We start from the raw sequence: 16,738 nt of genomic DNA on the forward strand, positions 1-16,738 counted from the left end.
AAATACCTTTAAAGATATTTTGGGAAAAAGTAATTGTAGAATCTATTTTTAAAACCTTACTAAATAATTTTATTATAGCAGTTTCTTATGGACTCAGTAAATGATCAGATATCCTCCCCCACCCCCTTAAATCTTCCTTTCTTTTAAGTAGAAGACAGAAGACAACATATATGGTGCAGTGTGTACTGCTCGGGAGATGGGTGCACCAGGATCTCACAAATCACCACTAAAGAACTTACTTATGTAACCAAATACCACCTGTACCCCAATAACTTATGGAAAAATAAAAATAATAATAATTAAGTGGAAGACAGGTGGTAGTTGGATGCAATATGACATTTGAAATAGCTGGCCTAGGGGAGAAATGGTATGGCAGCAGAGTGGACCAAATCTGTAATATGAATTGCTGATTTGGATAAATAGTGGAGTAATTACAAAGGGAAATATTTGAGGATGAAAAAGAAAATACTCAGGCTGTCTTGATTTTTACTCAGATGTCTATGAGAATAGCAATGGTAATCTGCCATTTGTGGTTTCAATACAATGCAGAAGACATTTGAGGGTATTAGAAAATAAAACCTCAAAATAAGTTGTGACATTTCCCTTTCACCAATTATTAGCACTCTTCTTTTTTTTTTTTTTTTTTTTTGGGACAGGGTCTCTTGCTCTGTCACCCAAGCTGGAGTGCAGTGGCGTCATCTTGGCTCACTGCAACTGAGAGGTGACAACGTGCTAGCAGCCCTCGCTTGCTCTCGGCGCCTCGGCCTCGGCATCCACTCTGGCCATCCTGGAGGAGCCCTTCAGACCGCCACTGCGCTATGGGGGCCCCTCTCTGGGCTGGGCGTGGCCGGAGCCGGCTCCCTCTGCTTGCCGGGAGGTGTGGAGGGAGATGCGCAGGTGGGAACCTGGGCTGTGCGCCACGCTCATGGGCCAGCACGAGTTCCCAGTGGGCACAGGCTTAGCAGGCCCTGCACTCAGAGTGGCCCGCCGGTGCTGCTGGCCAGGGCAGTGAGGGGCTTAGCACCTGGGTGAGCAGCTGTGGAGGGTGCGCCGGGTTCGCCAGCACTGCCAGCTGGCCCGCCTGCCTGCCCGCCCTGCACTTGAATTCTCGCCAGGCCTCAGCCACCTCCCCATGGGGCAGGGCTCGGGACCTGCAGCCCGCCATGTCCGAGCCCCCCACCCTCCGTGGGCTCCCGTGCTGCCTGAGCCTTCCCGACGGGCGCCGTCCCTTGCTCTGCAGCGCCTGGTCCCATCGACTGCCCAAGGGCTGAGGAGTGCAGTGTGGGACTGGTGGGGAGCTCTGCCCGCGTCCCAGGCGTGGGATCCACTAGGCAAAGCCAGCTGGGCTCCTGAGTAGAGTGGGGACTTGGAGAACTTTTGTGTCTAGCTGGAGGATTGTATATGTACCAATCAGCACTCTGTGTCTAGCTCAGGGTTTGTGGATGTACCAGTCAGCACTCTGTATCCAGCTAATCTGGTAGGGACTTGGAGAACTTTTATGTCTAGCGAGAGGATTGTAAATGCACCAATCAGCACTCTGTCTAGCTAAAGATTTGTAAACGCACCAATCAGTGCTCTGTGTCTAGCAAGTCTCGTGGGGACTTTGAGAACTTTTATGTCTAGCTAGAGGGTTGTAAATGCACCAATCAGCACTCTGTGTCTAGCTCAGGGATTATAAATGCACCAATCAGCACCCTGTCAAAACGGGCCAATCAGCTGTCTGTAAAATGGACCAATCAGCTCTCTGTAAAATGGACCAATCAGCAGGATGTGGGTGGGGTCAGATAAGGGAATAAACAGGCTGCCCAGTTTGCCGCCGCGATCTGCTTGGGTTCGTTTCCACAGCGTGGAGTAAATTTTGCTGCGGCTCACGCTTTGGGTCTGCCACGTCTTTAAGAGCGGTAACACTCACCGCGGAGGTCTGCAGCTTCCCTCCTGAAGTCAGAGACCACGAACCCACCAGAAGGAACAAAGACACATCTGAACATCTGAAGGAACAAACTCTGGACACACCATTTTTAAGAACTGTAACATTCACCGTGAGGGTCTGTGGTTTCATTCTTGAAGTCAGCCAGACCAAGAACCCACCAATTCCGGAGACACAACTCCACTTTTCAGGCTTAAGAGATCCTCCCACCTCAGCCTCTTTAGTAGCTGAGACTACAGGCGTGAGCCAGCACACTCGTGTTTTTTGTAGGGACAGGGTTTCGCCATATTGCCCAGGCTGAGTTTGAACTCCTGAGCTCAAGCGATTTGCCTGCCTTGGCCTCCCAAAGTACTGGGATTATAGGCGCCTGGCCCTGTATTTCTTTATACAAAAATTTAAACTGAACCTTTAAAAAAAATGTTTCAATCATCAGGACTTTTGGAACACTTAAGAAAGTTTTTAGAAAGGGATCATTTTGCCATTTGTTAATTTATGAAATAAGCATATCCCTAACCAACTGGGATGTAGAGAATACTTGAGCATCGTTGATATTCTTGATGTCATTTACAGTGGGCATTTTTGAGGAATACTGACGGCTCAGTTTAAAAATTACTCTGTAGTATAAACTTTTGCCTAAATTTTAGTATTAACTTTGGTTAGACTGAAAGAGCAGCCAGCTATTCTGCAAGCGGATTAAGTTGTCAGAGGGTTCTGCTGAAGTGGGTGTAAACAGGAAATCTAAGGACAGTTGATAACTGCATTCTTTCACATCAGCTAAGAGAGGCCGATTGTTTTCTAGTTGCAGCAGTTTTCAAACAGTTTCATCTCTGGACTCCTTTAAACTTCTAAAAAAAATTTTTGGCTCTAATGAGCTTTTGTTTATTATTTACCATATTAAAAATTGAAACAAAAAGTTTTAAATATGTATCCATTGATTAACTTAAAAATAGTGATACACCCATTACACATTAACATGAGGGTTTTTAAGGGGAAATATAAAACAAATTTATAAGAAGAATGATAGTGTTTGATACTTTAGCAAATATGTTTAATATTGGTCTAATAGACAGTTGGGTTCTCACATCTGTATTCAATCTGTTGTGATATGCTGTTCTGGTTGAAGTATGTAAAGTATATGAAGAAAATCTGGCCTCACATGCATAGGTAGTTGGAAAAGGGAAGAGTATTTTAACAGCTTTCAAAAATAAATGTGGGTGTTCTTTCAAAGACTGCACCAAAATTTGACCAGTAGTGGTTTCTTAAAGATCAGTTGCAATGAGGAATTTAAAACCATGTTAGTGTAACTTGCCTTACTCTCTTTTATTAAAACCCATTGGTCTTAATTGCACAATGAAAGGATCTTTTTACTTATGCATACTTTTGTAACATCATGCATTGGTCACTGGGTTAAACAGTCTTCTGAATTTTGGCGCATTATACAATATAAAGAAAAGTCACATTTGTTAATACCACCACAGATCTCATAAAGAAAGGGCCTTAATTATTAAGAAGCTGTCAGACTTACTGTGTTAGATATGTTTTTCAAAATTCTTTTAGTTGAAACTTCAAATTTTATCATTAGCAAATTATTATCATCTGTTTTTCTTCAAATGACAAGCTCATTTTGTTCGTTTTTAGAAAATACCTGCCAGATACCCAATTCCGAATAACCATAGTTTTTTTTTTTATTATTTGTTCTTTCAAATGAAAATGTTTTTCTGTGGCCAGGCGCGGTGGCTCATGCCTGCAATCCCAGCACTTTGGGAGGCCGAGGCGGGCGGATCACGAGGTCAGGAGATCGAGACCATCCTGGCTAATACGGTGAAACCCCGTCTCTGCTAAAAATACCAAAAATGAGCTGGGTGTGGTGGTGGGCGCCTGTAGTCCCAGCTACTCGGGAGGCTGAGGCAGGAGAATGGCGTGAACCCAGGAGGCGGAGCTGGCAGTGAGCCTGGGGAACAGAGCGAGACTCCGTCTCAAAAAAAAAGAAAATGTTTTTCTGTGAAAAAAAGGTGCCAGTTCACTTACGACTGGAATAATTGCACGTCTTTTCCTTGAGACAACCATTGTACATTGTAACAAAAGTGCTTTATGCAAACTTCTCGCTTCATCATACAGAATATTAAAAGGACGTATACTAATGGGTGGAGATATAATGTAATTAATTATTACTGCTTTATCAAGGACACTTTAATACTGGCATTTTCTTTTTTTGCCACTGTGAGTGGTGGTAAAGAATACAAGGACAATATTGGTAATAACAGTAGTTACATAGTAGTAGTGATGCCAGTGTCTTGATATATCCTAAGACATCAGTTAGGTTTTACCCATTTTTGCTTTTGCACTTGAGCGCAGTGAAAAAAGCAAGTAACATTTTAATGTCATAATGAAAACATAGTTTGACTTTATGAACTCTTAAGAGTCTTGGGGACCCTCAGGGGTCCTGAGACCATACTTTGTGAACTAGTCTCTTACAGATTTGATTCACTGGTTTTTCAGATTTTATTTGCATAATATAATAGAGTTCTGCAAATAAACAGAACCAGTGGAGCGTTAAGGGAAGGAGATATTCAGGAATTGGCGTATGCTATTGTGGATGCTGACAAGTCCAAAATCTGTACCTAATACAGCATGACTTTTTTTTTTTTTTTTTTTTTTAAATGAGACAGAGTCTTGCTCTGTCACCCAGGCGGGAGTGAGGTGGCACAATCTCCGCTCACTGCAACCCCTGTCTTCTGGGTTCAAATGATTTTCCCATCTCAGCGTCCCAAGTAGCTGGAACTACAGGCGTGTGCCACCACGCCTGGCTAATTTTTAGTAGAAACAGGGTTTGACCATATTGGCCAGGCTGGTCTCGAACTCTTAACCTCAGGTGATCCGCCTGCCTCGGCCTCCCAAAGTGCTGGGATCACAGGCGTGAGCCACCATGCCCCACCAGCATGAGACTTTAAATAGTCCTGTGGTGCATAATGACATTTTTGTCAGTGAACGACCACATACACAACAGTGGTCCTGTAAGATGAAGTACAGTATTTTTACTGTAGCTTTTCCGTGTTTAGGTATGTTTACATATACAAATACTATTGTATTACAGTTGTCTGCAGGATTCAGTACAGTGACATGCTGTACAGATTTGTCACCTAGGAGCAATAGGCTATCCCAAAGAGCCTAGCTAGGTGTGTAGTAGGCAACATTATCTAGGTTTGTGCAAGTACACTCCCATGATGTTTGTACAAAGACAAAGTTGCCCAATGACGCCGTTCTCGGAATGTATTCCCCGTCATTCTGTCGTTATGATGTGTGGCCATTTTTAAAACTTCTTTCTTCTCAAAACTCCCCTTACCTTATTTCTAGAATTCTTCTCTTTCTTTTGCTCTATTTTGAATATATAGTTTTTTTTTTTTTAACTGGTGCCTTTGTGCTGCCTTCAGTCTTTTTCTGTCTCCTTGTTCTTATATTAAGACATAAGTGACCAGTTTCCCTTGTTACCACAAAGTGTGATTGGCAACTCATGACTGTGCTCTGACATTCAAAATTCTTTCGGTAATCAGCTACTATAAAGCAAAATAATTGTCTGAGGGGATAGAGCTGCCTTTGGAAAGGCACCAGAAATGTTGTCTCAACTCCTCAAATCTGAAATGGTGGGTCTCCCTTGGTGAAAACTGAAATGGCCAGATGAATATTCTACGTGATAAGGGGTCACCATAGGTTCTTGCATTGTTTTTGGGTAGAGATTTTTTTTTAAATAGTCTCATTTTCTTCCATACTGTGTTTTTACTTTTATTGTAAATACCATGTTTTGTAGTAGTTGATTGGATTATTAATATCTTGTTAATTTTGTTTTTAATCTTAAAACTTCACTGAGTTTAGTGATATATACTTTTAAATTTTTGTCGAACAGATTTTAAGTTTGCTTTATGTCTTGGAAAAAATATTTACTTCCTATAAAATATAACCCATCCAGAAAACAGGTTTTTTTATACACTTGCTCTAAGACAATCTTTTAGTAAGCATTTCATAGATGATCAGTACATTTTGTTTATGTCTAGCATGCTGTTGAACTGACCAACATGATTTCTGAAATTCATCTCTGATCTCTTTTTTTAGTTTAATTTTATTTAAAGTTCCAGGATACATGTGCAGGATATACAGCTTTGTTACATAGGTAAACGTGTGCCATGGTGGTTTGCCGTACCTGTCAACCCATCACCTAGGTATTAAGCCCATGTATTAGCTTTATGTATCCTGATGTTCTTCCCAGTATGGCCCCCTGCAGGCCACAGTGTCTGTTGTTCCCCTCCCTGTGTTCCCTCTTAAAAGTGAGAACATGCAGTGTTTAGTTTTCTGTTCCTTGTTAGTTTGCTGAGGATAATAGCTTCTAGCTCCATCCATGTCTCTGCAAAGGACATGATCTTGTTCCTTTTTATGGCTGCAGAGTATGCCATGGTGTATATGTATCAAGTTTTCTTTATCCAGTCTATCATTGATGGGTATTTGGGTTGATTCCATGTCTTTGCTATTGTGAGTAGTGCTGTGATGAACATATGTGTGTGAGTATCTTTGTAATAGGATGATTTCTATTCTTTGGGTATATACCCAGTAATGGGATTGCTGGGTCAAATGCTATTTCTGCCTCTAGGTCTTTGAAGAATCGCCACACTGTCTTCCACAATTATTGAACTAATTTATACTCCCACCAACAATGTAAGTGTTTCTTTTTCTCTGCAACCTCACAGGCATCTGTTGTTACTTGACTTTTTAATAACAGCTATTCTGATTGGTGTGAGATGGTATCTCATTGTGGTTTTGATTTGAATTTCTCTAATGATCAGTGATGTTTGAGTTTTTTTCATGTTTGTTGGCTGCATGAGTGTCTTTTGAGAAGTGTCTGTTCATGTCCTTTGCCCACTTTTTAATGGAGTTGTCTGTTTTTTTCTTGTAAATTTTTTTTGTTTCTCGTAGACTCTGGATATTAGACCTTTGTCAGGTGGATAGATTGTAAAAATTCTCTCCCATTCTGTAGGTTGTCTATTCACTCTGATGATAGTCTCTTTTGCTGTGCAGAGGCTCTTTAGTTTAATTAGATCCCATTTTGTCAATTTTTGATTTTGTTGCAATGCTTTCGGTGTTTTTGTTTTGTTTTGTTTTGTTTTTTGTGAAACCTTTGCTCATGCCTGTGTCCTGAATGGCATTGTCTAGATTTTCTTCTAGGATTGTTAATAGTTTTGGGTTTTACATTTGTATTAGTCAGTTTCACACTGCTGATAAAGGCATACCTGACACTGGGCAATTTACAAAAGAAAGATATTTAATTGGACTCACAGTGCCACCTGGCTGGGGAAACCTCACAATCATGGCAGAAGGCAGGGAGGAGCAAGTCACATCTTACGTGGATAGCAGCAGGCAAAGAGAGGGCTTGTGCAGAGAAATTCCCGTCTTTAAAACCATCAAATCTCATGAGACCCATTCACTATCATGAGAACAGCACAGGAAAGACCCGCCCCATGATTTAATCGTCTCCTACCAAGTCCCTCTCACAACACTTGGGAATTACGGGAGCTGTAAAATGAGATTTGGTTGGGGATGCAGAGCCAAATCATATCAACATTTAAGTCTTTAATCTATCTTGAGTTAATTTTTGTAAAAGGTGTAAGAAAGGAGCAATTTCAGTTTTCTGCATGTGGCTAGCCAGTTCTCCCAGCACCATTTATTAAATAGGAAATGTTTTCCTCATTGCTTATGTCAGGTTTGTTGAAGATGAGATGGTTGTAGATGTGCAGTCTTATTTCTGAGTTCTCTATTCTGTGTCATTGGTCTGTGTGTCTGTTTTTGTAACAGTACCATGCTGTTTTGGTTACTGTAGACTTGTATAATTTGAAGTCAGGGTAGCATGATGCCTCCAGCTTTGTTCTTTTTGCTTAGTATTGTCTTGGCTATATGGGCTCTTTCATCCCTGATTTCTCGTTTCTTGTCCTATCCCATTTAAAGTCTTAGGGGTCAGTTGTAGAATTAATGAGTGAATGCCTTCCTGTATTAATAATATGAAATGCTACTTTATGACACACCTAGGTAATGTAATCTTCCATGAACATGAACTATCTGGCCAGTTGTTAGCAATTCTAATAATGATAACCTGATATTTACAATTAAATATTCTAGTATTATCTTTGGTTTGTAAATATCAAAATGGTAGTAACTGACAATTTCAAAGTGTAACTAAAATATGAATAGTAAAATACTCTCCATGCCTTTTTAGAGCTGCTAAAGAGAGGGAGAAATTAGGTGTGTGTTTTGTTTGTTTATTCATTTATTTATAAAAAGGAATATTGAATGCTGTTATCTTAAACTCATGTGGCTGTATTGGTAGGCTGACTTTTTTCTCAAGAAAATATTTTAGAAATTTTTGTGTCATTTAAAATATTTTCTATATTGAGATGGTCTTCTATATTTATTTATTTTTCAGGCAAGTTTATTTGGAAGCATTTCCCGTCTGGAATGTATTTGATTACAACAAAAGGGCAGGCACAATTCTATTTCTGGTAGTAAAGTCTGTTGGTTAATGCGTCCATTTATAATTACTGTCACTTTCTTTTTTTTAGAAAGACTATTAAACCATTTTGAAAACTTACATAGTTTGATATTTATTTCCAGACACTAGATTTTTTAAAAATAAAAATGTATTTGTTAAATATTAAATTTCTGAAGACTCAATAGGTCTATGAAAGCAGATAGTATCTTTATGCCATTGTGTATATCCTTTGCACAACAGATAATACAGGTCTCAGCAATACCCTGGTTGTATCATGTTGATATCTTTGGATCAAACTTGCAAAATTAGCATTATTTAGTATTTCTAGGAGTGGCATTATAGATCTTCCTGCTTTAACAGGTCTATACAAGGATATCAGCACAAAGAACTTAGTCCCAGACAACTGTACATTAATTAATGGGTTGGCCGAGGCTTGAATGCAGCTGACTTTTTAGAATATTTTAGAGAGAATAAAACTGACACTTATTGAAGGTTTATGATACACCAGTCTGCTAGATGTTTACTGATGTGTTTTGTCAATGAAACTAGCCCACAGTTCAGTATTTCCCCGTCAGTAGATAAGCATGCACTGGCCAAAGAGGTTAAGTAACATGTTCAATATTCATGGTCACTCAGGTAGTAAATGTTAGAAAGCCAAACATAGGTCTTTCCCATTCCCAATCTATGAAATTACTCATTTTTAAAAATGAATTTAACATGTATTGCTTTTTATGTTATTTAAACTTAAAATGTGGCCCAAAGGAGATATATATCAAATAATTTAACCGCTTTAGAAGTATACCATTTAAGTGCCTTTTGAAGAAAGAGACTGGGGCATAGAATGTCCAATGTCCAATATCCAGAAATGATGACTGAGCTATATTTGCAGCAGTTATGGACTTTGGTTGATGAATCAATCTTTTCGTTAGAAGTTAAGTGTTTTTCCTTTTCTGACCATGTATTTCTCATTAATAAAGCACAGCTATCTTTTTTTCTTTTTAACCTTTCTAGCTTCATTCCAATAGGATAAGTTTTTACTAGTAAGTAGCACCATTTCATAACAAAGGGATGACCGTGTAACTAGTGTATTTTAAAAGTTAGGCCCACTAATATTATAATAAGGAAAGCCAAAATCTTGCAGAAAGATCTTTTGTAGGTATGACTGTTTAATGAACTGAAATCACTTACTTACAGTTGTCTAAAATTATTCATAGTTTTTAGAGGTGAAAAAAATACCACTCATAAAATTTCATCTTGTGTACCAGAAAATGTTGGAAGTGTTTTGGTAATATTTAAGAATATTGAAAAATATAAGTAAATCAAAGAGTTTTAAAAATACTTCTATAAAACTATCTAGTTATATATAATCTGAATAATTCAGATTATTGTTTAAAATCATCTTTAATCCATTTCTAAGTTTGGCAACTTTTAATTTTTAAGGATGTTAAGAAGAAAACTTCTATTGTCCTATTATCACTGTAGTTTGTTTTTATTATTATTTATTTATTTATTTTACTTTTTTGAGACAGGGTCTCACTCAGTTGCCCAGGCTAGAGTGCAGTGGTGCAGTCACGGGTCAATGCAGCCTTGACCTCCCAGGCTCAAGTGATTCACCTCACAAGTAGCTGGTATTACAGGTGTGCACCACAACGACTGGCTAATTTTTTATAGAGACGAGGTTTTGCCATGTTGCCCACACTAGTCTTGAACTCCTAAGCTCAAGCAATTTGCCTGCTTCAGCCTCCCAGAGTGCTGGGATTACATGTGTGAGCCACTGCACCCAGCCTAATTTTTTTTTTTTTTTAAAGTAAGGGACATTTTAATATTCTCCCTCGCACTGCCAAAACAGAAAGACAAAAATCTTGGAATGAAGGAGTTATTACGAGGAAATCTTATCCCCAAACAGTTTTGTTTCCGTTAATGTAGTGTTTTTTTTCCTATGATTCTATATTATATCAGCCTTTCTACTCGCATTTTCCCGCCAGCTGATGTTTGGTAACTGCCATGTTAGATAAGACCACCTTAAGAGTGTGAAAGGATTTAAGAATCTTCTGGCTGAACTACTTAATGCAGTTTAGTTCTTTTCTATAACCACTAACATTCAGCCTCTACTTTTAAGATTTTTAAATTACAATTAGCACAGGTATTTGACACTCATCCTTTACAGAATGAGTGTCAAATTTGTATCCCAGTGCCTGGTACAAAGTAAGAACTTAGTAAATCCTAACAGTTATTATTTATTAGAGGAAAAGGTTAATTATTATTATTTTTTGAGACGGAGTTTCACTCTTGTTGCCCAGGCTGGAGTGCAATGGCGCGATCTCGGCTCACCACAACCTCCGCCTCCCAGGTTCAAGTGATTCTCCTTCCTCAGCCTCCCAAGTAGCCGGGATTACAGGCATGCGCCACCATGCCCGGCTAATTTTTTGTATTTTTAGTAGAGACAGGGTTTGTCCATATTGGTCAGGCTGGTCTCGAACTCCTGACCTCAGGTGATTCTTCCGCCTCGCCTTGGCCTCCCAAAGTGTTGGGATTACAGGCGTGAGCCACTGTGCCCCACCAGGAAAAGGTTAATTTTTTTTTTTTTTAGACGGAGTCACTCTGTCACCCAGGCTGGAAGTGCAGTGGTGCAATCTTGGCTCACTGCAAGCTCTCCCTCCCAGGTTCACGCCATTCTCCTGCCTCAGCTTCCCAAATAGCTGGGACTACAGGCACTGCCACCAAGACTGGCTAATTTTTTTTGTATTTTTAGTAGAGATGGGGTTTCACTGTGTTAGCCAGGATGGTCTCCATCTCCTGACCTTGTGATTCGCCCACCTTGACCTCCCAAAGTGCTGGGATTACGGGCGTGAGCCACCGCATCCAGCTGAAAAAGGTTAATTATTAAGAAATTCTTGAACTTAGTAAATCCTAACAGTTATTATTTATTATAGGAAAGGGCTAATTATTAGGAAACTATTATGGTTAGCTGTAATCTGCCTCTCCATAATTTTAGTTCATGTTTCTAGGTCTCTTAAAGCAACACAAGTGAATATTAATATTCCATTTTTATATAACTGTGTTTGAGATGTTTACAAAGATCCACCCTTTAATCCTCTTCTTCTGTATTAAATATTACCAGCTTTTTGTAGCTTTCCTAAACCAGTTACTGCTTGCTGTTGTTTGCATAGGTCCTGTAATACCCTACAGTGCAGATTACAGTAGAATTTTCTGTCTTCTTTGCTCTGGACATCATAGGTCTGATCATGTAACCTGAGATTATATTAAGATTTTGGGGATTGTACATTGGCTCAGAGAGAGCTTTTGGCTTGCTCTGTTTTATAGATAACCCCTTCTACCTCCCACTCACCTATGAATTGTTCCTTAAGCCTGATTCTCCCCATCCTGTTCTTGTACAAGTGACATTTTGATAATATTCATGTAGGTCTTTATATTTATTCCTGTAAAATTTAAATTTACTGGTTTTAGCCTACTCTTTTTGCCTATCAAATTATTTAAAACTCTGGATTTTGTCAGTAAAGAAATTAGGCATCTTTTATAATTACTCACCCATCCTGTGTCTGGTTCCCCATCTTAAACAGTGTGGAATTTAACAGGTTAGTTTTGAAGTTTATGTGGAATCACTTATGCATTCATTCTTTGAACAACCACTATGTGTCAAGTACTAGGGATAAAGCACAGTCTGTTGTTGACAATATCAGATAAGTTTTGTGTGGTTCCCCTCATCTAACTTATAATTCCAGTTTGTGATGCAGTATTTCCTGTTTTTCTTAAATAAAAACAGAGGGATAATTAACAGATCATTGTGCTCATGCAACATATTAATCCCAAGGGAATATATTACAGTCAAATTAGTAATAAAGATAATATTCTTTTACATATGCGGTGTTAATGTGTGAAATATTAGTGGGGGGGCCTTGTTCTACAGCCTCGCCCCTAGAAAAAGCATGGAAATAATTCACAACCACTGTTCAAGGACTCCACCTCTGAAACCTTGAGCAGAGGTTTGTAAGTGAAGTCTGGCCTTTTTAAAAGATAGATTCTAGGGAATGAAGTAAGCTTTGTTAAATCTGCTGCTAAAGTCTGCCCGTTTTTCAAGTAAGTGCATTTTTAAAAGCCCCACATGGGAATTTCTCATGGACTTACAGGCTTCTTTGTTTTTCTGCATGTCTCCATCTCATGTCATCTTTTAATCTTTCCCTTCTAACATGCTCCATGTGAATGTTTCTTATAGATAGTTGCCACATAATTTTCGTATATTTCTTATAGATAGTTGCCACATAATTTTTCAATTACAAATCAGATGCCACATAAACAGTTTGCCGTCAGAAACTTTTTTTTTTTAACATTTCCTTGGAACGTATCTGTGGAGTAAATCATGGTGATCTTTTTGAACTCCCAGTTAGGTTTTTCTGATACTGAACATGAACTCAACAGATTCTTTGTGTTTCTAAAGACTGTATTTAGATTCACTTAGATGTTTAGTTAGCATTTCCTATGTGTCAGCCATTGCATTGGTTTCTTTCACATTTTATTTCATAATTAAATTATTCTTAATAATGAACCAGAAGTGCCATTTCACTTTATGAAAGTAGAAAAATGAAATTTTAGCCCAGATTTCCTCTGTGACTGCTTTGGGTGGGGTGTGTCAAGGACTTGTGTGAGGTATACCCAAAGATGAAATAGATGACGTGAAAATGTAAGATTGAGTTAAAATATAAAGTTTATCAGATAATCAACTTTTCTTTTAAAAGAAAATGCACTATTAATGGGGGATGTATTGGCTTTAGGAAAAGAGAAGTAAAACTTCTGACCATATCTACCATCTTTTATTTTGCATTGGCTTAGTGCTTAATTAGTTTGATGTACTCATATAGAAAATAGCATTTTAAAATGACATTTTTGGGGGGAACAGTGAAACACTAAAAATCCAGTTTGTAAAATTTGTTGTTTTCTCGTATCAAAGAATGACTTCTTTCTGCTATACCCACAAGTTTTCCCCAGCCTCTATGGTTTTTCCTCTGTGGTAGTGGGGAGAGGGAATATTTAACTATTAAGTGAAGTAAGTGGTATTAAGAAACTTAGAATTCTATTTTGCATTCTTCTATACTACTAACTCTATAATCTTATACACTTTATTTTTCTATTAAAGATAAGTACATTATTCTCTTGATTCCCTTGCGTTTTGATGAAGTTTAATTAAATGTTTGTAAAGCACATTGAGATCTATGGTTAAACACTGTATATGTTCTAAGTGTGATTAATCATTACTGAGAACAGACCATTTTTCTCAATTTCATAGTAATTAGAAAGTGAATACTTTAGGTGGAAAAAAAAAGAATATAATGATATTAAATATAGCCTGGAAAGCCTTTGCATTAAGTAGTTTCCTGAACTATATAATCTCCATTTTTTTGGAGTGTTGTTACTGATAATTTGGAAGTCATTGGATGTTATTGACAGGGTAGAAAGTTCTTACATGGTTCTTTTTCTTAACAAGATCTAGTTAATGCTACTTGGTAATGGTTAAGGAATGGGGTAAATATAACCCAAATTAGAGTGAACTTCAAGGTAAGTGTGATTTTTTCTTATTTGTATAAAATCTATAATATGGGTTTCTCCTAAATCCTTTGTTTATATTTCTTTAGCAGTGTTTGGCGTATTATAACCTGCCATAATTGTGTTTCAACATACAAGATAGTGTGGATAACGAAATTTCTGTATTACAATTATGAGTTTTAAGATGTGTAGGTTGTAGGCATGGAGCCAGGCTGAGAGAGAGATCATGCCAAGTCTTAGCACAGAAAAGCATCAGTGCCTAAGGATGTGTGATTTTACTTCATCTATAAGGTTTCCCGGTTAGGTTAGTTTCCTTCTTGAGATAAGTCACACATTTTCCAGAGAGAGGCAAGCAATTGGTAACCTACATATATAAAGTCAGATACCATCAGCATGGGGGTAATTTGACTTAACCTTGAGAGGAGTGTTTTGGCACATGGATATGTGTTTTGTGGGACACGGGCCAGATGGAAGGTGTAGAACTTGATTGTTTAATCCCTGAGTTGCCATTTACTTTTTTTAAATTGTGATAAAATATAAGTAACATTAAAATTTACAATTTTACACATTATTAAGTGTAAAAGGCCAGTGGGATTAAATACATTCCCATTGTTTTTGCAACCATTACCGCCATCCATCTCCAGAACTTTTTTGATCTTCCCAAGTTAAAACTCTGTGCCATCAAACAATAACTCCCCAATCCCTCCTTCCCCCAGCACCTGTCACCCTCCATTCTACTTTGTGCCTACGTGAATTTGACTATTTGACTACTCTGGTATCTAGAGTAGAGCATTATATATTATTTGTCCTTTTGTGACTGTCTTATTTCTAGCTTGATGTTTTCAAGTTTTATCCATGGTGTAGCATGTAATAGAAATTCATTCCTTTTTAAGGCTGAATAATGCATATACCACACTTGTATGAATATCATTCATACATTTTTATCTGTCGATGAACACTTGGGTTGCTTCTACCGTTTGGCAACAGTTTACTTTTAAGTCGTTAGTTATATCTATTACAGAAAAATATTTGGACTTTTGACAGAAACTAGTCTAGAGGATTAAATGGGGTCTTTCTAGTGCCCTTTCCCAGTCAGTGGAAGGTTCACTCACTCAACAAGAACGTGAGTGCCTACAGTGCTTGGTGCGGTGAACACAGGAGTACACACAGACAGATATGGCACCAGCCATCATGGAGGTGAGAGTGTAGTGGAGGAAGCAGACAGTAACTGCTTAAATACTCTTGGGACTACATGCAAAATTACAACGGTAGTAAATGAGTGCTTCAGTGAAGGGATAAACACTAACATGAGATTTCTGAGGGTATTTCACCAGTTTGTTTTTGGGAGTGGAGGTGGCATCAGTCAGGAAAGGAAGGAAGAAGGAAAGTTTCAGGCAGAGGAAATAACATGTGCAAAGGCCCTTTTGTCTATGAAGGAGGCAAGAGCAGCCCCTGCAACTTGGGAGTGCAGAGAGTGACCATGAGCATGGTGTAAGTCTGGAAAATGTATAAATCTTGCAGATCATGATAAGAGTTTTGGTCTTTATGCCAGGAGCAGTGGGAAGCCATGGAAGTGTTTTGTTTTCATTTGTAAAAGGAGCTTAGTGGATGAGGGCAAAATGATCAGGCTTTAGTTTTTATAAGATATCAGGAGGTGGTATGGTAAATAGGTTGGGTGGATGGAGTTAGAATCCAGACAGTTCCTTAAGGAGACTTTTGCAGTTCTCAAGGCAAAAAATAATGATTGGAGTGGGATGATAACAGCAAAGACAAAGAGAAATCTAAATTTGAGAAAAATTAGAGAATGTAATAAACAGATGTTGTGATGGATTGATCATGGACAGAGATGTTAAGGAAACTCTTAGATGTAGAAATGGCATAACAGGATCACTATGGTTCATCATGTAAGTATTCCATGGGATGAGGAATGGTGAAAACCAAAACAGATTGTTGAGAGATTTGGTTGGGAAGTGGAGGAAGAGGAAAATACCTGGTCTGGAGAATGATTCTGTTTTTGTTTTGTTTTTGAGATAGGAGAGACCTGCACATTTAAAAGCTGGTGGGGAGGACTCCGGTTGTGGGGCAGAGGTTAAGCATATGTGGCAAAAGAAGGATAATGGGTAATGTAAGAAAAGGGGTTGGGGGGATGGGGAGAAGGATCCAAAAGAGTGATGTGGTGGGAATGGTTGCCTTTAGATATGAGGAGAAAGAAGGAAAGAGAATAGGGTGGGTACAGTCTTTGGCAGTAGTCAAGAAACACAAGTCAGCAAGCACTGACAGTTCCAAAGTCAATTATTAAAAATGCTACATTTTCTGTGTCTATTTTCTATTACATGTGCCATTGATAGATAAACCTGATTGTGAAAAGCTGACAGTGTTTCAGAATTAAAATGTCCTTATTCTTTGTCAAGTATAATGCAGTCTTTCAAATACCTACATATGTACATGAAATTAAGAGTTTATAATAGAATAATGTATCCGCATTTTATTTCAACTCTCTACCTCTGAAGTTTGGTTTGGTTTTTTAAAAAAAAAACCTGGGTAGGTTAATTTTTTATATTATTTGCAAGGCAATATGTGCATCTGTGTGTGTGTATGTGTGTGTATGGGTGTTTGTGAAAATCACATCATCTAAATGTATACAAAGCTTGTCAAGTATGCATTTTATAAATTTTTGATAGATACTTGTTTACTATAGCACAGCAATATTTGAGGATGGGATA

The 16,738-nt window shown here is 38.3% G+C and overlaps 1 protein-coding gene across 4 annotated transcripts in view; it reads left to right on the forward strand.

Annotated features, from left to right (window-relative positions):
* The window catches only part of RAPGEF2 (Rap guanine nucleotide exchange factor 2), a 257,095-nt gene that overhangs the window by 146,959 nt on the left and 93,398 nt on the right, over nt 1-16,738 (forward strand). The window lies entirely within an intron of this gene.

Source organism: Homo sapiens, chromosome 4, assembly GCF_000001405.40.
Source record: "Homo sapiens chromosome 4, GRCh38.p14 Primary Assembly".
In the NCBI taxonomy this organism is placed as follows: Eukaryota; Metazoa; Chordata; class Mammalia; order Primates; family Hominidae; genus Homo; species Homo sapiens.